This window comes from Homo sapiens, chromosome 9 (genome assembly GCF_000001405.40).
Source record: "Homo sapiens chromosome 9, GRCh38.p14 Primary Assembly".
Classification (NCBI taxonomy): domain Eukaryota; kingdom Metazoa; phylum Chordata; class Mammalia; order Primates; family Hominidae; genus Homo; species Homo sapiens.
Genome location: NC_000009.12, coordinates 124,656,145 through 124,678,329, shown reverse-complemented (window position 1 = coordinate 124,678,329; position 22,185 = coordinate 124,656,145). Strand labels below are relative to the sequence as shown.

General features: G+C 38.1%; 1 protein-coding gene and 1 long non-coding RNA gene across 5 annotated transcripts in view, besides 2 other annotated features; one reads left to right on the top strand and one right to left on the bottom strand.

Annotated features, from left to right (window-relative positions):
- MIR181A2HG (MIR181A2 host gene) overlaps positions 1 to 19,894 on the bottom strand; it is a 40,193-nt gene extending 20,299 nt beyond the window's left edge. Inside the window, exon 1 of the long non-coding RNA NR_038975.1 lies at positions 19,589 to 19,894. This is a non-coding gene — a long non-coding RNA (MIR181A2 host gene). The remainder of the gene's footprint in view (positions 1 to 19,588) is intronic.
- The window catches only part of NR6A1 (nuclear receptor subfamily 6 group A member 1), a 254,037-nt gene that overhangs the window by 92,982 nt on the left and 138,870 nt on the right, over positions 1 to 22,185 (top strand). The gene's annotated exons all lie outside the window — the stretch shown is intronic.
- Positions 18,857 to 18,906: an enhancer, noted in NCBI's record as "active region_28988". NCBI's record gives its function as "activates an Ori minimal core promoter by ATAC-STARR-seq in GM12878 lymphoblastoid cells {active_cell/tissue: GM12878}" and the evidence as "EXISTENCE:reporter gene assay evidence [ECO:0000049][PMID:35858748]".
- Positions 19,728 to 19,847: an enhancer, noted in NCBI's record as "active region_28987". NCBI's record gives its function as "activates an Ori minimal core promoter by ATAC-STARR-seq in GM12878 lymphoblastoid cells {active_cell/tissue: GM12878}" and the evidence as "EXISTENCE:reporter gene assay evidence [ECO:0000049][PMID:35858748]".

Here is a 22,185-nt window from a genome sequence, read left to right as displayed (position 1 = left end):
TCAGACTTAGGACGTTACTCCAAGAGAAAGTGGTGATTAGGGTTCTCTTTTAATTTGTATGTATATACTGGGGCTAAGACCGTGTAGGAATCTAGCTCTTTTAGGAAGGTTGTCAGCCTCTAGGCATGGGAGCATGGCCTTAAGATGGTTGTGAACTTTAAGGAAAATGCAATTGGAATGGGATTTACTCAGATACCTACTGACAGCCAATAAAAACATTTAGGTTTAAATATTCAGCCAAATATTCTCTCAAAACTGATTTAGAAATCTATACTCATTACAGGCTTTTTTCAAGAAACAGTCTAGTGTATTTTCTTTAGGATTTAAGTCAAAATGAATTCCATGTTTCCCTTTGTTCTCTTTTACGGTAGCATTCTGAGTCTTCTGTCCCTTTAAAAATGTTGGGAAGCTTGTATGCATTCTAAATTGTAAGGTCTTTTGCATGTTACATAGACTTTCTCTGTTTCATGGGGTCACTGTAGCCAAAATACTTATGATTGAAATAGACATTGGCAAACTATAAAGAAAACAGGAAAGTAAAGGCTGGATTTGATTATTAGTGGTGAAAGGAATACTATCTGAGATTAGAATGATAAGTATGTTTTGGAGAGAAAGGTCACGAGGGAATCCTGTGGGCTGCAATAAATGTGTGCTCATATTTTGATCTGGATAGTAGTTAACATATATAATACATATGAGAAAACTTTATCAGACTTAAGATTTGTTTACCTTACCATATGTAAATTATATCTCAAAAGGTAAAATAAGGCTGGGCATAGTGGCTCATGCTTGTAATCCTAGCACTTTGGGAGGCTGAAGCAAGCAGATAGATGGCTTGAGCTCAGGAGTTTGAGACTAGCCTGGGCAACATGATGAAACCCCGTCTCTACAAAAAAATACAAAAATTAGCTAGTATGGTGGTGCCCACCTGTAGTCCCAGCTACTTGTGGGGCTGAGGCAGGAGGATCACTTGAACATGAGAGGTTGAGGCTGCAGTGAGCTGAGATCAAGCCACTACACTCCAACCTGCGTGACAAAGTGAGACTCTGTCTCCAGAAGAAAGGAAATAGTAATAATAATTTGGAAGTAAAGCTTGGTAGTTACTATACTATTTTGACCATATATGAAAATTTGAAATATTTCATGATAGGAAACATAATCCTATCACTCTAAACATGTCAAATTATATATCTAGTTTATGAGCACTAAGGCCTTTTTTTTTCTTCTTTAACCTGTTATTTTTGAGATTTGGAATTTTTATGTTTTTCTTGGATGCCACTGGAGGGAAATAGAGAATGAAGTCTTGTTTGTGTGGTATCAGTTGTTGAAAGGGACAAACGCAGTTTTGATCTTGAAACTAGCTTATGTGTAAATTCTTTTCAGTCTTGAATATGAGTGAAGTAAAGGTAACCACTTAGCTCTGTTAAGTATATGATTGCTCTAGTCACGAATTTTAAAGGTTCTATCGTTCATAAGTTTGTCTAGTACTTACTGAGGACTTGCCATATATCTGATATTGTGAGAAGAACTGTCCCAAACGGTGACATTACTATTTCATTTTGCATTTGAGGTTACTGAGGATCTGGATACTTAAACTTCCAATGTCAGAATATAAACAAGAAAGTAATCATCACTCTATAAACTGATTCTTTATTGCCACAAATGGATTATCACTACTTTAGGAGAGATCCTGTTTTTGAAGTCTACTGTTTTAGAAGTCTTTTTAGAGCTTGTACTAAGTGGCCTTTAAAAATCTCATAATAATTTCTAACACTTTCTTAATAACTTGGCAGTATGGCTTTGTCATTTAAAACAAAATCTGGAGGAAAGGAAAATATTTATTTCCCTGTGGCATGAAAAGAGGCTATATGTAGGTCATTTTTTTTTTTAAATAAAAGGCAAGAAAGTCTCCCTCCAGACCACATCAGAACTATGCCAGCTTGGTACGGGGCCCTTACCAGAGTAATGATGTAAGAATCTGAGAGTACATAGTGCAGCTGCCAAAGCTCATAATGTTTAATTTCAGCACTGTCTGTTTGCCAGAGTTTGCAGCTCAATATTTTTTTCTGTATGGATCAAATTATAATCACATATATTTATCTTATTGGGGTAGGAGAAGTAAAGAGTTATTGTTTGATAAATTTGCCGTTTTCCTAGGGAATGGTGCTGTTTTGCCTGTCACATGCTTCTGAGCATTATTCCCCCACTGATTCCTAAGAACTTATTCTCCTGGGTGAATTCTTCTAACTTGTGACACAGAGGGGCAATTCACACCTTGCCTGTTTATATTTTGCAAGAAAACCCTTCTCTTAGCGTGGGTATCTATTCAGGCAGTTCCATGTGCTACATTCCATCCATTTGCCAAGTCTTGGACTCTTATCCAAAGTACAATATTTGAGTATACAATTACACCTACACGTACCGGCAAGAGCGTACTTTTTCCTAGCCTCTCTTGGAGAACGCTTGAAGCCAGAGGAGCAAATCCAGATGTTCTGGATTGAGTTTGGCACCTTCAATTGAGAATTCTAGATGGAAAGATTTCATTTGGAAGTGTACCAGGCTTGCCCAGCAGTTGCTTCCTGTTGCTAACCATCATATTTTTATGACCAAAGATTCTAGACTGCCTCCTTTGTTGAGCAGAAAGAATTACACACTAGGGCCACATGGGAAGTGGCTTCTCATCATTTGAGAGAAATATCAGCAGGCATGCAGAAGAGGGTAGCCTTGCTATTGGGAATAAATCTGGGTTGAGAGCAGGTACAACTACAGCTGCAGCTCTTTAGCCAGACCTGGCTTTATTTAAATTTCAAACAGAAATCTTTGACATCAACCTAAGTGAACCATTATTGGCTGTCTGCCACCTAACAGTACCTTGTACAAGGAGGAGGTGCTCTCTGACTGTATTCAGTCAACACTTATTGAACACCTTCTGTGTGTGCCAGGCAATGTGCTAGATGCTGGTGATGAATAAAGTATTTTTTCGAGAAGTTACAGTCTGGTAGGAGGCACAGACTCTTAGACAGATAAATTACAATTCACTGATTTTATTTGTTGCTTATACAATTTAGTATTTTGTTTGCTTTGTAAGTCAGCAACATAAGCCAGTCCACAGGATTAACTCCATAACTTTCTAAGTAAGAACAAGCATAGGATTTCCTTTCAGTTCTAAAGAATGTTTACTTGCTTGCATTTTTGCGTCTTTAGATACCTCTTCTGACTTGCCCAGGGATGAAGTTTGTGGAGTATGGGAAGAAAAGACTAGTATAAGGCAGGAAGGCATTTCTAAGAAAGCTTCCAGAATTGATTATTTTGTCCTAAGAGATGTTTTCTTCACTTAAAAATTATGTGAGAACGCACAAAGGTTAGCTGTGTTGGTTATCAGTTTGTTGTAAGGTAAGAGCAAGAAAAATCATTTTCCTCTATCTCTCTGGAATGTAGGACTCCTTTATCTGAGTGATTACATGGTTAAGGCGGAGCTAGAAAATACATTTCCTTCATACCTGTTTCTGGATGGATGAGGTCACATTTACTTAGTAGTTATATAGTTCCTGTGTTGTAATTTGCTATTCCTTCAGCCTTTTTTCCTCCCATTTTTGAAGATGGGTATATGAATATTTCCATTGGGCCTCTCTTAAATACAAGAAAAATATTAAGTTGCTTATGTCCAAATTCATTTCTTTGATGTGCAGCAGCCTCAAAGCATGTGTACCTCTGTTATTAAGATAATAATAGTTAATATTTATATAGCACTTATGTTCCAGGTTTTATTTTTAGGACTTTATATGTAAAGCACTTAAAAGAGGGCTTGTCTTATCCCCATAACAACCCAGTAAGATAGATACTTATTATTTTTCCCATTTTACAGATGAAAATAGAAAGACACAGTAAGGGAAATAAATTGCCCAAGATCACACAGGTATTAAGTGGCAGAGCCAGGATTTGAACTCAGGAAATCCAGCTTCATAGCGTTAATTGCTGCACTGTACCATTTCATACTCAGTTTGATACTGAATGATATGGAGTTCCCAAAGAGTGTAAGGGGTAACATCTACCATTTGAGTGCCTCCTGTGTACCTAGGCATTGTATGTGTCATTTTACTTCTTTTCAATCTTAAGGGTGTGTGAATTGGTCTCCATTTTACAGATGATAATATGATAATATCAGCTAACATTTATGGAGCACTTACTATGGGTCAGGCATTGTACTAAGTGGTTTACTTATATTACCTCATTTAATGTTGACAGTAGTTATGTGGATGATTATTCTCATTTTGGAAATGAGAAAACTGAAGCTAGAGAAAAGTCGTTTGCTGAGGGTCACATAGCTAAGAAGGGACAGAGCTGAGATTTGAAGACAGATGCCAAGATCTTAATTACCACCTAATATGTGATGGAAAATAGTAATTAGCTAGAAATTCCAACAATGAGGTGAATCTCAGAGGACAGAGCCTAGTTCCAAATCTTGTTCCTCATCCTTAATCCTCGTATATTTGTTGATTAATTATTGCCCTTGCTTATCTTCTTTAGGCGCTCACAATAGAGAAATTTGATAGGTGTCGGAGATGACCTTCTTGTCTGAAAATAGGAGATTTTTGTCTAACTGATGTCTTCATGAAACCATGCAGTTAGTGAACTTGTCTTTTATGAAAGCTTTAACTTTTTTCTTTAATTATATTTGCCTAGGATTCATTACTCTATAGATTTCTTTTTTATATCTTCACAGGCATTCCTAAAAGTCATAGTGGGGCATTTTTAAGCATCTATGATATTTATTTCTGCCTCAGCCTCCCAAGTAGCTAGGACTGCAGGCACATGCCACCGTACCCAGGTTGAGATTCTGGTTTTGAGGTATTGTACTTTAGTTTATTTTTCCTCCTTAGGATTGTAAATTTATTTTCTTTACCACCTGAGATATGGCGGTATTGTGTTGAAGTTTTTTTGTCTTTTAAATTATGGGAGTTTTATGGGAGAACCTTCATATGTCTCACTGAGTCTTCAGTAGTTGTGGTTAACTTTTTCTTGTCACTCAGCTGGTGTGCAGTGGTATAATCAAAGCTCACTGTAACCACAACCTCAACTTCCTGGGCTCAAGTGATCCTCCCACATCAGCCTCCCAAGTAGATGGGACTACAGGCACATGCCACCATGCCTGGCTACTTTTTGTATTTTTTCTGGAGATGGAGTTTTGCCATGTTGCCGAGGCTGATCTCAAACTCCTGGGCTCAAGCAATCCGCTAGCCTTGGCCTCTCAAAGTGCTAAGATTACAGGCATGAGCTACCGCGCCTGGCTCAGTTGTAGTTAACTCTTGAATCTTACATGTCACTCACTCTTGGGCAAACACAACCTAATCATTTCAGAAATGAATGTGTTTTCTGTTCCCTCCCTTTCCCCAAATGTCTTTTATTTTTCTGTCATTCTAGATTTTTCCTCTTCTTTCTCTCCAACCAATTGGTTACTAAGATTCATTAAGTCTGCCCCTCAAATATCTATCAGAATCTAGCCCAAGGTACTCAGCATCACTAGATATCAGAGAAATGAAATTTTAAAAAAGGATATACCACTGCATACCCACCACACTGACATACAAATTGTTGGTGAAAACAAATGGAACACTCAAATTCTGTTGGCAGAAGTGGTATATAAATTGATACAAACCTTTGAAACCTCTAGTAGCATCTGGGAAACTTGAACTTAAGCAATTCTTTTTTTTTTTTGAAACGGAGTCTCGCTCTGTCGCCCAGGCTGGAGTGCAGTGGCATGATCTCGGCTCACTGCAACCTCTGCCTCCCAGGGTCAAGCGATTCTCCTGCCTCAGCCTCCCGAGTTGCTGGGACTACAGGCTTGTGCCATCACACTCGGCTAATTTTTGTGTTTTTAGTAGAGACGGGATTTCACTATGTTGGCCAGGCTGGTCTAGAACTCCTGACCTCATGATCCGCCCGCCTCGGCCTCCCAAAGTGCTGGGATTACAGGTGTCAGCCACTGTGTCCAGCCAAGCAATTCCATTTCTAGGCATATACCCAACAAAAATGCATAATGTGTGCACTGAAAGATATGTACAAGAATGTATATCATAGCATTATCTGTAATAGTCCCAAACTAGAAACAACTAAATATCCATCAATAGTAGAATGGACAAATAAGTGTGGGAGAATACATATAACGGAATACTGCACAGTAGTAATAAGGGCACACCATCACAACATGCCGCAGCATGGTTGCGTCTCCCAGACAGGATGTTGAGGAAACGAAGTCAGGCACAAAATATTCCATAGTATGGAATTCTCTTTATATAAGTTCAAAAATAGACAAAACTAGATGATAGAGATCAGAATAGTGGTTACCTTTATTGAGACGATAAAATAGCTGGAGGGCACAAGGTTCTGAGGTGTTAGTAATGTTTTACATCTTGATTTAGATGTTGGTTTCCTAGGTATGTTCACTTTGTAAAAGTTCGTTGAACTGTTTGAGATGTGTGCACTTTACTGTATTTTTACACTTGAATAAAAAAGTTTCTTTTAAGAAAAAGCTAGACAGCAACTGGGTTTAAAAGTTTGAGGTAAAACATAGGACTCAAGTACTTGTGTTAAAATACCATCTCTAGTTAATGACTTTGTGTTAGTCACTTAAGAGTGGCCTTAAAGAATGACTTTTTCCTTTATATTTATATTTTCCTGTGTATTTACATTAGGTAAACTTAGTTGATCTAATTAATAATACTTTTAGGCCAGGAGTAGGGTTGTGAGAAGGTTGATGAGGTTCCACTTTTTATTCTATAATACTTCTTATATTTGAGTTATTTTTCAGTTAATATTTTAAGCGTGTTCCTTTTTAAAAAAGAATAAATGTCTTTGGAGGAAATATTAAGTACCATGACAAAGTAATACAGTAAGATATTTGGGGTCGTGTGAAACCTTATGGTGCCTTGCAAATCAGATACCATTTGGTGATAACTCATTTTACAGCTCAGGAAAATAGCAGTAGATGTTTTTCAGAGGTTGAATAGAGCAAAATGTAAAACACACACACAAAAGCACTCCAGTTTGCATCTTTTTAAAAAAGTTGTGGATTAAGACTGTAAGAAATTTACCATCTTAACCCTTTTAAAATATACAGTTCAGTAGTATATATTCACTTTGTTGTGCAACAGATCTCCAGATCTTTTTCACCTTGCAAAACTGAAATTCTGTACCCATTAAAACAACTCCCATTTCCCCTCGTTCCAGTTCCTGGTAATCACCATTCTACTTTGTTTCTATGTATTTGACTACTTTAGATATCTTATATAAGTAGAATCATACAGTATGTGTCGTTTTGTGATTTCATTTAGCATAATGTCCTCAAAATTCACTTATGTTGTAGTATGTGACAGCCCTTTGCATCTCTACTGCCACCACTGTGGTCAAAACCATTTTTTTTCATCTGAATAACTGCAACGGCCCAAGTGGTCTCCTTGCTTCCAGTCTTCCCAATTCTTATCTATCTTCTATCCAGTTGCTAAATGCAAATTTAACTTTGCTTGACAACCTGATACCCTGACAATCTTTAGATAAAAATCTAAATGCTTTAACCTGACATGGGCTTTTATTTTTGGGCCCCCAATATCCTACTGCTAGGCCACATCTTTTCCTCACTGCTCTTAAACACACCCTTTGTTTCATCCACTCTGAATTTCTTCCCTGATCATGCTGTTTCATGTCCCCGGTCACTATTTGTTGACAGTGAACCATAAATGGATCATGACTTTTGCTGAAGCTGTGTTTGTCAGCTGCCTCTGCGTGGAGCTAACCTGGAGACATAATGTCAGAATATAATAATTTAATACTAAGACTTTTCATTTCCTAGCTTTTTAGACCTTTTCTCAACAACTAAAAATAATCTGATCTGAAAATAGACAAATAAAAGAAATTCGAGAAGTATGTGTTTTTGTTTTTTGTTCTTTGAAAGTGTCTCACTTGGTCTTTTAGGTTGGAGTACAATGGCCTGATAGCCCACTGCAGCCTCCAACTCCTGGGCTTGAGCCATCCTCCTGCCTCAGCCTCTCAAGTAGCTGGGACGGTAGGCATGTGCCATCACAGCTGGCTAATTTTTTGATTTTTTTTTTTTTTTTTTGCAGAGATGAGGTCTTGCTATGTTGGCTGGGCTGGTCTCAAACTCCTGGCTTCAAGCAGTCCTCCTGCCTCAGTTTCCCAAAGTGCTGGGATTACAGGCATGAACCGCTCTGCCAGGCTAAGAAGTATGTTGACCAAATTTATGTGAGGGGAAGGGTAGGGGGAAAAATGGTATGTAAGTTTCTTATTTTAAAGTCTTTATTCTACTTGGCCCTTTAACAAATAAGACATCAAGTTTCTCTAACTTGCTGTAATCTTAATTCAGTAAGTATTTATCGAGGGCCTACTAGACATATTTATTCCTATGAGTCAAGAAAATAAGGCTGGGCACGGTGGCTCACCCCTGTAATTCCAGCACTTTGGGAGGCCAAGGTGGGTGGATCACCTGAGGTCAGGAGTTCAAGACTAGCCTGGTCAACATAGTGAAACCCCATCTCTACTAAAAATACAAAAATTAGCCGGGCATGGTGGTATGCACCTGTAATCTTAGCTACTCGAATTCCTCTTGACTATAGGTACTTGGGTAAACATTCCTGTGTGCTGGTAAGAGGCCATGCTAATGGAATCTATCCCGTTGGATTGTATTGCCTCTTTTCCTCCTCCCAAGAAATTTTGATATTTAAGTTGATTATTCATTGTCTTGAAATGTTTTCCTTTTTCTAGCCACAGTCTGAGACATGTGATATTTCAACAGGTAGGCAGGGCAAATGTTCTGTGATATAAGAGGGCCACATTGTGAAGGTACTGAAGGCAGGATTTTTGAAGAAAGAACTCTTTCTGACAACTTTGAGTCTCTTATATATAAAAGTACCCAAAACAAAGTTGTTCAGTAAGTATTTGTTGAATAAATGCCATTTTTGGTTATTTGTTTACCTTGATAAGAATTTATAGAATTTTCTGTTATATTTGGGAAACCAAAGTATATATCCATATTTAATACTGTTTGCTGACAAAAATTTGAAATAATTCAGACATAAAAACATTGATTTTTATGCATCTTAATTTATGAACAGTGTTTTCGATGTCAGTTTTTTTCTCCAATGGTGAGAGTGATTCTTGATTCATTTCATCAGTTCCAACTAATGAAATACATCTATGAGAAGAATGTTTTGATTTGTTTTTACTTCTGAGATTTCTAGAACCTAATATTATACTGTGTCCTGTTAGAGGGTTTTCAATATTGCTATCAACTGCCTGGTATTTGTTAGGGATGTATAATTTGTCTTCTTAGGGAGATCCCTACTTATGTTTATTTCATTTTGAGTTTTCCTTTAAAACTCCCTTTTTTTCTCTTTATTGAGTAAACAGAAACTGTATTATATTTGGGTAGCAGCTAATTATGTATAGCACATTCTCAGTGTTTGCGAGCTTAGGATGAGACAGATACTGTCAGTCCCTGCTGGCAGGGATGTACATTGGTCAGACCAAAAAAAATTGTCAGAAATATGGACAGTGATTTCTGTATAAGTGTGTTCATTGAATTAATATTTATATTAGAGAATAATTGGAAACCATCCAGATATCTACAAAAACCATTTTTAATGACTTGAAAATATGCTTGTAAGTGAACAAATGATTGTGAAAAATCGGTGTTGAGAATGGATTCCATTGTGTATGAACTACACTAAGATATTAGTAAGAATTTTTTCTGTGAGTGAGATTATAGGTGACAAATTTTCCTTTTTATGTTTTTCTGTATTATCTAAGTTTTCTACATATTAATATATCAGTGTCATTTGTATAGTGGCAGAAAAACTCCTAGTACAGTTGACCCTTGAACAACATGAATTTGAATCACGCAGGTCCACTTATATGTGGATATTTTTCAATAAAAGTTACACTAAGTATGGCTGCCTCTTCTGCCTCCCCTTCCACCTCTTCTGCCACCCTTGTGACAGCAAGACCAACCCCTTCTCTTCCTCCTCCTCTTTGGCCTACTCAGTGTGAAGGCAGTGAGGATGAAGGCCTTTGTGACAATATACTTCCCCTTAATGAATAGTAAATATATTTTGTGTTCCTTATGATTTTCTTAATAACATTTTCTTTTCTCTAGTTTATTATAGTAATACAATATATAACACATATAACATATAAAATATGTATTAACCAACTTATCAGTAAGGCTTCTGGTCAACAGTAGGCTATTAGTAAAGTTTTGGGGGAGTCAAAAATTATACATGGATTTTTGACTGCATGGGAGGTTGGTCCCCCTAACCCCTTGTGATGTTTAAGGATCAAGTGTATTTTAAAAGTCACTCATAATTAAAATGAATGAGACTAGAAGGAAATTTCTCAAATGTTGACAGCAGGTATCTTTAGCTTGTGAGATTATAAATAACTTAAAAAGTTATGATTAAATTTTTGTCTTTATATTTTTGTTCTCAGTTCATCTGTAGTAAGCATACTGCTACGATAAGATGAAAAAGTAAGTTATTTTACAAGGTATATCACTACAGTCAGCCTAAGAATATTCCTTCAGAGAACATTTTTATGAGGCTTTTATAATAGTCTTCAGAGGAAAGACATGCTTTCTATGCCCTTCTTGATGGCTGTGGTAGGACATGAGACTCCAAATCTTTTAGATATTTTTCTTCTATACAATTTCTGATTAAATTTGTTGAAATAGTAATACTACTAGAGAGAAATTGCCCTACCCTTTGAAATCTGTGTGAGGACAGTGATCTACTTCACCATTAATATCCCAACTTTAAAGTAGTTTTGTGTTTGGGATATACAGTAGCATTTCATTCATTAATGGTTCTGCTTGGCTCTTAACACCTGTAGCACGTATTTTAGATATACTTATGCCTTTGAAACCTGTTATTTTTTAAAACTATATTCATGTATATTCTCATATACATGAATATGAAAGTAGGGTGGATAAGCCAGGCGGACGCAGTGGCTCACACCTGTAATCCCAGCACTTTGGGACGCTGGGGTGGGTGGATCATGAGGTCAGGAGTTCAAGACCAGCCTGGCCAAGATGGCGAAACCCTGTATCTACTGAAAATACAAAAATTTAGCCAGGCGTGGCGGGTGCCTGTAATCCCAGCTACTCAGGAGGCTGAGGCAAAGAATTGCTTGAACCCAGGAGGCAGAGGTTGCAGTGAGCCGACATTGCGCCACTGCACTCCAGCCTGGGTGACAGAGTGAGATTCTGTCTCAAAAAAAAAAAAAAGTAGGGTGGATAATAGTAATATTCGCAATTTGTAAAACCATAGCTACTACATACGAAGCATCTGTGGTGTTCTAGGTGCTATGCTAGACACAGGCAAACATATAATTCTTACAACAGCCCTATAAAGTGGTATTATTTCCCCCGCCCCCGCCAGGGAAGGAACCTGAGATTCAGAGAGGCACATTTCACAATGTCAGTAAGTGCTCAAGCTGATACAGAGTCAAGTCTCTGTGACTATAGTGCCCGAGTACAACACCTTTGTCTTGTTTATTGCTGTGTGCCTGGTGCCTAGAACAGGGTTTGGGATATACTAAGCTGTCAACAGATATCCTTTGAATGATTAAACTATACCTAGAAGCTCTTAAATGGCCAGGCAAAAGGAATTTTTCTGTTCTAGTAATAGAGGATTATACAGAGAAATGAGCCTGACAAAATGTAATGGTATTAGAAAGCCAAATGGTGGCCGGGCATGGTTGCTCATGCTTGTAATCCCAGCACTTTGGAAGGCCAAGGCGGGTGGATTGCTTGAGCCCAGGCGTTCGAGACTAGCCTGGGCAACATGGCAAAACCCTGTTTCTACAAAAAATACACAAATTAGGTGGGCATGGTGGTGCATGCCTGTGGTCCCAGCTACTTGGGAGGTTGAGGCAGGAGAATTGCTTGTCTCTGGGAGGTGGAGGTTACAGTGAGCCAAGATTGCACTACTACACTCCAGCCTGGGCAACAAAGTGAGACCCTGTCTCAAAAAAAAAAAAAAAAAAAAAGAACCACATAGAGGTAATTCCGCCAAAATCTAGGTCACAATAACAGATAACCAAATTGGGGTCTTCTTTTTTTTTGGTGTAACTGTCTAATTTGCTCTGAATACATTTGCCAGACCTCTTTTCCACTTGACTTTGATATTCAGTGAACAAAGAAAAAGAAAAAGCCACATGATATTGAGTCTACTAGTGAGAAAAATCTAGGTGGAAATCCAACATCTTTAATATCAGGTAACTGGAATATAAATTTCTTAATTGGAACTTTTGGATCTTGGGAGCTTCCTGCTCTGTGGAGATAATATTGCTTCATTGTGGCAAATGCGTGTACTTTACCCCATTGGTAACAACAACTTCATTGTATTAGTCCTAGGACAACAAAGAGTAAATTCCAATTGGAAGAGGGGTTAATATTTAGACACTCTGTAGGCGTCTTTCTGGTTCGTAAGATTAATTGCCACAGAAACCCAATAGTGACTCTGGTCTCTCATTCTGTTCATAGTTATCGTCCATGTCTCAAATATTCTTGGTTGTTAAGAGCCCAGATTAGTCATGGGTTGAGTACTACCTAGCTGTGTAATCATGATCATTATAGCATGTGTCATTAAAGGAAATGGTAACTGCTGAGAACATAGTCTTCAGGAAGGAGATGAAGGAAACATGCTTTACATTTAATGCTCCTGTGTATCATGATCTGCTCCTGCAACATCATTTCATACCCAGACTCGCTTTATTTCATCCTCTCCAGAAATTATCTTGTTCTTAAACATCTATTAAAAGGTGACTCAGTTTTTATATGAGAGAGTGGTTTACCATAGATCTGACTAATGGTCATTATGGAACCAGCCTGTGTATTTGAAGGTATTTTATTTTCTTAATGGCTTGATGACTCCATTGAAAGTCTGTTAAGATCTTATAGTTTAGCATAATTCTTTGGTTGAATGAAATGGAGCTGAGCGTATTTTTCCATTATTTTATGAATTATGTTAGTTTGACTTCAACAAATGGCAAGGCAGTTTCCCAAATCATTGGACCATTCCCAAAATTTCTGAACTCAGCTCACTGCCGTTTATTTATTTTATTCTTTTTTTTTTTTTTGAGAAAGGTTCTTGTTGTCACCCTGGCTGTAGTGCAGTGGGGTGAACATGGCTCCCTGCAGCCTCAACCTCAAGTGATCCTCCTGCCTTAGCCTCCTGTGTAGCTGGGACCAGAGGCACACACCACCAAGTCTGGCTAATTTTTACCTTTTTTTTTTTTTTTTTTTTTTTTTTGGAGATACAAGGATCTTATTATATTGCCCAGCCTGGTCTTGAACTCCTGGGCTCTAGTGATCCTCCCAGCTTTGCCTCCCAAAGTGCTGGGATTACAGGTGTGAGCTACCGTCGCTGGCCCCTGCCATTTCTTGAATGATAGGGCTTCTGGCCCATGGTTATCCCAGTTTATAGCTTGTTAGCTCCATGAAGGCAGGTAATATATTTGGTCAACCTGTGTCTAATACTGTACATGATACATATTAGAAGCTTAATATTGATTAGATGAATGACTGGAAAAAAGGTTCTGCTTGATTAGCATTCAGTAAGAACCCAGTACCATCTGCTGAGGTTCTTGAGGAACCTTTCCTCTGGAGAGCTTTTGTGATTTATCAGAATCATTCATTCATCCATTCATTCATTATCTATTTATTTATCTGTCTAATCCGTCTGTCTGCTTCAGCAGTCCTGTAAAACATTTTGTGGTGGTGAGGTATTGGAGAGACAGGATGGAGAACCCTCTGGCATATCCAGATTCTTACCTTTAAGTGCTGTCTGTTCTTTAGCTTTTAGTATGAATGTGTTCTTTGGACCACCAGTGGTAATAGAGACTCAGAGAGAAGCAACTTGTTAAAAGTCATCTAGCTCAACAGTGGCAGAGCTAAGATATGACATCATATCTAGTTCAGCCAATTTCTGGGAGAAAACCCTCCTTCTAAACTACATCGCACAATCTCCCTTACACTTCCGCTGTTTGCTTTAGAGAATCTACTGCCTTATGTCCTCCAAAAGGTTATGTGGTATATCCAGCATTTTTCACTTATTTGGCATCATTAAGAAACACTGATTTCTCATTCCTGCTGGATTATTATCAACTTTAAAATGAATCCACAGATGTAGTAGGAAAATACCTTGCCCAGGAATTCCTTCTTAAATCTTTGATTTTAAGACATGAATTTTCTGTGTTTTCAAATTATTTTAATTTCTCATTCTTGGACAGTATTTTAGGACTTTGATGTTGTTGTTTTAATCACCAAGAGGAGGTCGTAGAAATCTTACTCAGAAGAGTCTCTAGGAAATATTAATTCTTATTTTAAGAAAAGGGTTCTTTTTTTTTATACTTAATGGTACTAACTTTGTATCAGCATTAAATTATACCTTACATTATTGAAGTCTGACATTCCACCTCACTTTTCAAATAATACTTTTTCTGTATTCATTCAGTTCATTCAATATTTATGTTTCTAAGATTTCAAGTTATTTGTGCAGTGTTGACAGTTTTTACATTCATATGTTTGTTTTAATTTAAAATTTAAATGGAGAATGGCCTGTGCTATGAACCAGCCTGGAACCCTTCTATTTCCATTCTTTGTGGTCTCAGACGATGAACAGAACCTCAAGCCCTTACTGAGTGTTCACAGAATTGGCATTTCCAGAGTGTTTTCCATGTACCAGAAACACTGGTCAGTGTTTATATACATATCCTTGACTCTGAAAACAGCCTGGCAGGAAGGGATTGATATTTGTATTTTATGAATGAAGAGTCTGAGACAAAGAGGGGAAGTGACTTGTACAAGATCCTGTAGTAAATAAGGGGCAGAGCCAGGATTCCAGCCCCTGTTCACTTGACCCTAAGACTCATGTTTCTTGCACCAAGCAGGCATAAGATAGGCTGAGAATGGCATCCGAATTTAAGAATCTCACATGCATGTTTATCACGTCCAATTTATTTGATGGTAGATTTGGGGGTTAAGACGTGGTCATCATAGAAGTCCTTTGGCTTTCTAAATTTTTTTTTAAAACCACAGAAGCTTGTGGGTAGTACCATTTGTTGCACTCGGTCTTGACCATAAACCAAGTTCACAGTAATCGAAGGCTATGATGCACTGGGTGTTTTGCCAATTCATTACTACTGTTACTATTATACAATCTAGATTGTTTAAAATGTTTCTTGGAAAAAAGACCTAATTCATCATTTCTTTAAGGATTTTCATTTAAAGTTTTTCTGTATGCTTCTGTCATCTCAGCAAGGGAGAATAAGGCTTCTTATCATTGTATTTCTAATATAGCTTTTTAAGTTTTCCTGAACAGATATCAGCTTCCCAGTATTTGGAGATCATTGCTTTGTACTCAGATAAAAATTTGCTTTCTGTTTATAGACCTTTGTCGTCTTATCTAAAATCTAACCCTACATCCCTAAGTATAAGACTGAACACAAGAGAACATGCTGATTATGTAAGCCAAATATGACATGAGATTTTTTTTGACAAAGCAGCCTGCATGGGACAGCATGGTCACACATCGGCTGGTAAAGCAATCTCCTGTCCAAATGTTTCATTTTATTCCAGTTGAATTGCTGACATGGCCAGCATTAATATTTTAGGATACTTGTTTATGAAGGCTTGCCTTGTGTTTTGAATAGTATCTATCTGATAGTCTACAAGGAGTCACATTGTGAGTATTTAAGGGGAAAAATGTAATAATAATAGCTACTCTTTTTTGGAATCTCTACCATGTGCCTGGCACCTTACTAGATACTTTACATACTTCACTGCGAGCCGTTCTATATAAATCCTGCAGGGTGTCTATTTCCCCATTTTGCAGGTAAGGATACTAAGTTTCAGAGGGGTAAATTAATTTGCCTAATATCATCTAGCTAGCAAAGTTGATACTCATAAACCTACTCAAGACCAAGTGACTTCTAGGTCCTGGTTTTTTGTTACACATATTGTCCATTGCTGTGATACCATGAAACTATTGAATTAATTGTCTCATATGTTTAGGAAGAAGTTTTTGACACTAAATTAGTACCATTCTGGAGCATTTCACGTACTCTGGCCATGACTACCTGTCTTCCAGTACTATCTAATATTCTTTGTAACTTCTTCATTGCAACCAAGGGGGAAAAAAATGGACCTGGACCTCTTTTCTCATCCTTGGTTTCAAATGCTTTTTTTTTTTTTAAAGGTATTTCTCAAGTATTATGGCACTAGCTATCTTGTCATACTTGTCATTGTATTTTTTACTTAAATTTTTTCATGTCCAGCTGGATGTGTAGTTGAAGATGGGTATGCTGGATATAAGCATAGCCCAGATCAGCACTGTCCAGTAGAACTTTCTGCAGTGATAGAAATGTCTTATATCTGGGCTATCCCATATGATAGTCACATGAGGCTATTGAGTGCTTGAAATGTGGTGTGTATAACTAAAGAACTGAGTTTTCTGTTTTATTTAATTTTGATTAATTTAAATCAAAATAGCCACATAGAGCTAGTTGCTACTGTATTGGACAACGCACTTTGGGATAGTAACTGATGTTTGTGTTTGGTGAGTAATAATAGTATTTGAGGAAGCCCAATTGTTGGTAGCTTAAAGGTTGCTATTATGTTTACCAGCACCATTAAATCTGGCACGTGTTCAGCTTCACACCGTATTATCATGGGACCAAATAGATTAGAATAATTGATGTTTCCAAAGCCTTTTTTGACCATTCATGGTCTCATTTGATAAATCTTTCAGATATGATATCATTTCGAACTTGTGTTTACTAATGGATCACAGAAGAAGGGCAGAAGAGCAAAACCATTTATAGCTTCCTTGTGCAGGGTCTCCTCCTCCTGTTGAAATGGACACCAGTCTGGCCTGTTGGTGCTCAGGTTGCAGCATGAGGGCCTGGACAAGAATCCATGTACTGTTTCCCCCTGCTCGTTTCTTGAGATTGGAGAAGTATCTCTCCCTCATTCACTTAGAATATCCATTAAATTTATTTTTTAGGTCTTAAGGAAGTAGAGGCAATTTCTGATTTAGCCAGGGAGCTACACTAATTTGATAATAAAGTGTAGTTTTTTTTTCTAGTATTCCAGAATAAATTCTTGGGGCTTTGATTTTAATTCTTTGTTTTGGAAAATACAACCCAGAACTCGGAAGTTTTCTGTATAATGCTAGCCTCTAAATTGGTATATATATTCTAAAGAAACTTTTGATGGAATTAAATAATAGATTTTATGTGATATTTTGGAGAGAAATTAATGTCCCTCGAGTTTTGATGTATTTAATTATTTTCTTTTGGAATTTTAAAAAGATACTAATTTTATTACATGTCACTTGTGTTACTAAGCGTATTTTTTTCCTGACATTTTATTTATAAAATGCTCTCCTTTCTACCAGAGTGTACAGCTAATCAACTCTGGATGCTTTTGATATTTCTTACTGTGCCAAGGGCATTGAATGAAGTTCCCTGTAGTGAGAAAAGCGAGCACATGGGACTCGTGACTTTATGTACTCCAACAATAGAGCTTTTATGACATTGGAGGTGGTTAAAAAAGCTAGAAGTAGCTCTTAAACATGGCATCTCTGTGTTGCCTTTTTTTTTTTTTTTTTTTTGTATTCTCAGAGCTGCCAGGAGTGCATCGAGCCTGTAATTTCCTGTTCTCTGAATCCCCCATCTTTCTGCAGCTCCAAGCTTTGTGTCCCACAGCCTGTGACTCTGTGCTAACAAATCGCTATTGTCCAGTGGGGCGAATGGTGGCTGGAACTAAAGAATTGCTGTCTGGTTTCTATTCAAATCCAGGTAGCGAGATATATGAATGGACTTTTCGAATCGTCATGTGAATAACGTCTGCTCGGCATGAAGGCTCAGAGCCATGCTAGGAAGGATTAACTCGTAGGCTGACCACTAACATCCTTTGTGGTACGAGGGAGAAACATTCCCAAGTATCATTTTATTCACACTTAATTTTCTATCCCATACCCCCAAAATAAGGCTAGCTATTTAATTAGTTGGCTGCTTTTCTCTTAATTTTTAGTGTTTCTGTTGATAATGTGTAAGTTTGGGAAAATGCTAAGTAGCTTTTCACTTAGAACACTGTTATTTTCTCTTTAAAGTTTTCTACCTTACATTTATTATAGCATAGTTATCTTTATAGCATAGATGCAGAAAGTAAGAGAGAGCTTGTTTTTTCAAGAAAACAACCCTTTAAAATACTTTCCAACCCATGAAGGGAAAAATCCTCCTTTTTTCCCCCAAGTGCATTCTACTTATTACTTTGCATTTTTCTCCCAAAGTCCAAATTTATGCAAAGAAAATAGAAACAAGTTCAAATGCAATGCATTAACCAAATAAAACAAGTCTGCTTCAAATTAGGAACCAACCTAAGCATTTGTAAAGTGTAGCAGAATCAGAATTCTTTTAAAAATTAGATTTGGAACCTGAACTATATAATTCATAATTCTCATTTTTCTGTGGAAAATTATTTTATCTTTCTCCTGTATACCTGAAAAAATGTCCATAGGCTTAAAGGGTCATGCTTTTACATTCCTTCCATATCACAGGTACTATGAAGTAAGGAGACTTTTAGGTTTCTTTTTGTCTTAAACTCAGACAGCTTTGTAAGCAGTAGTGTGTAGATTACAAGAGTTAGACAAAAGCAGGCGCGACTGAGAAGAGTTGGTGGGGGAGAAGCTTGGGGCACTTCCTGTCACTCAACACATTCCAGATCACTAAAAAATTTCCACACCCTCTGCATTCCCCCTTGCCCACTCCAGTTCCCGGTATTTTCTGATTCCATATGTTGTGGTATTTACCATACTTCTCTCCCTCACTAGGCTCTGGCAAGACTGCTTCAGAGGGGATGCATTCCTTTAGATTGCACAAAGCGGAGCTGGGAAAATGGCTGGCAGTTTCAGAATCTAGTCACGATCGCACGCATGAGCACCTCACACATCCATGTCCCTACCCGCCCCCCCGCTCCCGCCCCTGCAGCTGGCTGACCTGTCTCACCCACTGCTGGCCTATCGAACGGCCAGGACTGTCTGGTTTTGGCTCGTGCCTTTGTCCATGTCTGGCTTAGTTCCTCTCTGTCTATGCTTGCCTCTACCCCCACCGCCCCAGGCGGCACAAGTGTTTGGCCACACAAAACTAGAGATAGAAAAGGTGGTAAAAACTTCAAACTTTTCTAAATTCTCCAACAGTTTATTTCTTGTGAATTTCTTCCTTCTTTAAATACTCCATTTTAAGAAAACAAAAAAATTAATTATCTAAAGGCAAAGAATGGAAAGCAACCTTTGTGTTCCTTATAATAACTGACTTCATAACTCTCTCCAGCTGCGTTATGGGATGTGTATAAAAAGCTTCTGTTCTGAGAACAAAGGAGCACGTGCAGAAATGAGACGAAAAAATCCACTGACAGTATTCCATTACACAAATTACTTAAAAGATTTTAGTCAAGCCCCTCAACAGATTCAATTTTAAAATGGCTTTTAGTTAAAAAAAAAAAATTGAAAGTGCTTACCCAGTAAAAGAACCGAAGTAGTCCTGAACTGTTACGTAAGACTTTTTACAGTTGGATCTTTGTCAAAAGGGGATGGGGGTGATGGGAGAAAGCAGCAACGACAATCAAAAAAGTTCGAGCTGCTGTGGCTAGAGGACAACTTCTGTGTTTCCAGATAGGATTCTTGCTGTAGAAATGGAACTTCCAGCCAGCACAGCATCCTGTCCCAGTAGAGAAATGAGTTTGTCAGTTAAAACAAAAAAAAAATTAGATACTGGAACCCAGGCTAGACGAGGTATTGAACCGCGCCAGATTTCCTTGCAGCCCTGTCTGCTCAGCTCGCATTGAACTATATATGACCCAGATGATGGACAGAAGCACATTTAGTCATGTGCACACTGGAAGAAAGCGGATTTGCTGGTCCCTGGCAGTGCAGGGGTTTGTCTTCTGATTGGGCTGTGCCCTGATCGGTGAAATGTGAAGCCCTCACCATTCAGAGGCCGTAATTCAGGACTGGCAGTTTGAGTGTCTGGCTGCCTCTAGTCACTGAGAGACTTTGAAGGTGTTGCTTTTGTTTGGTGGCATTACCCACCCAGAGGTTGCTTACACCTCTCTACTTGTGTCAGAAGAAATACTAGTCTTTCTGAAATACAAATAGGCAGCCGATTTTTCCTGAATCCTAAATCACCCTATTGTTGATAAACTTGGCTCTAACTGAAACCAATTATTTGATTTGAAAATTTATTGTGATCCTAACCAAGCTTCATATCCAGACCAACCCTTGGTCTTGATTTTATAGGTTTGATAAGGTAAAAATAAAAGTGGCATATTTGACTTTGAAGCCTCTATATGATATAAATTGCTCTTAATGAAAATTGGATAGATGGACAACAGAGAAGTGAAGTTTTAGATTCTGGAGTGTTTGGATGTATGAGGAAGAAGCTTTATGTCTTTTTATCCCCTTTGTGAGACTGTCACTCTTGTCCCAGTCCTAGTCACATTAGGGGTTGCTGGGGGGGGGAAGCTATGAAAGCATGGACCCTACTGAGCTGTGACATAGCCTTTAATCATGCAAGACAGCCACGGTCTGCTCTCTTCAGTCTGTCTGAACTAGGGTCCTTGGGGTTTATTTTCCATCTTTCTGAGCCACTGGGAAACCAGGTCATTATACAGGACTGTCATTTGTGACATTTTTGTTTAGTACATGGCAGTTGCTTTGTTTATTTAATGCAAGTTGACACTTCTTTAAAGTTTCAAAACAGTAAAGTTGTTTTGTGAGACCTTGACTCTGATATATGAAATCTACTCTACATGGACCAATCATTTTTTTCCGTGGACTTTCTTGTCTCTTTAGAAATTAGCTTATAGAGTCCTAAATTGATACTTAAACATACCAATAGTTCTGTTTATTTCTTGCCTTTCTCACAGTTGTTGAAATAATTCCATCTGTCTCTTTTGCTGTAAATTTTGGGTTTGGATGTTTGTACTTGGAATTTTTTAGATGTTGACTATATTATGCAGCACCTTCCATATGAGGACTACCCCAGAATTATTCTCTTGTCTTAACCCGAGAAAAGCTGTTTTGATGCACTATTAGATATAAGAATGTTCGAAAGAAGAGGAGATGAGCACTCTCTTGCTTTTTGTAAGCCACAAGACAATCTTTTTTTTTTCTAAGTTGTGGTAAGGTATATGTAACATAAAATTGACTGTTGTAATAATTTTTAAGTGTATAGTTCTGTGGTGTTAAGTGCATTCACGTTGTTTTGCAGCCTTCACCACCATCCATCCACCACAGAACTCTTCTCCTCTTGCAAAACTGAAATTCTCTACCTACCTGTTAAACACTAACTTGCCATTCTTCCCTCCCCCAGGCCCTGGGGACAACCATCATTCTACTTTCTCTTTGATTTTTTGTTTTTTGTTTTTGGAGACGGAATTTTACTCTTGTTGCCCAAGCTGGGATGCAATGGCACTGTCTTGGCTCACTGCAACTTCCGCCTCCTGGGTTCAAGCAATTCTCCTTCCTCAGCCTCCTGAGTAGCTGGGACTACAGGTGCCCACCACCACGCCTGGCTAGTTTTTGTATTTTTAGTAGACACGGGGTTTCACCATGTTGGCCAGGCTGGTCTCGAACTCGTGATCTCAAGTGATCCACCCACCTTGGCCTCCCAAAATCCTAGAATTACAGGCATGAGCCCACCGTGCCTAGCCTCTGTCTGTTTGCTTTTTGACTACTCTAGATACCTCATATAAGTGGAATAATACAAGATGTGTTCCCTTTTGACAGGCTTATTTCACTTAGCATGGTGTCCTCAAGGTTCATGCATGTTGTCGCATGTCAGAATTTCCTTACGTTTTAAGGCTGAATAATATACCATTGCATGTGTATACTACTGTCTTAGTCCCTTTAGTGTTGCTGTAAAGGAATACCTGAGGCTGGGTAATTTATAAAGAAAAGAGGTTTATTTGGCTCATGGTTCTGCAAGCTGTACAAGAAGCATGGCACCAGCTTCTGGTGAGGGCCTCAAGCTGCCTCCATTCATGGCACAAGGTGAAAGGGAGCTGGTGTGTGCAGAGATCACATGGTAGGAGAGGAGGAGGCAAGAGAGAGAAGA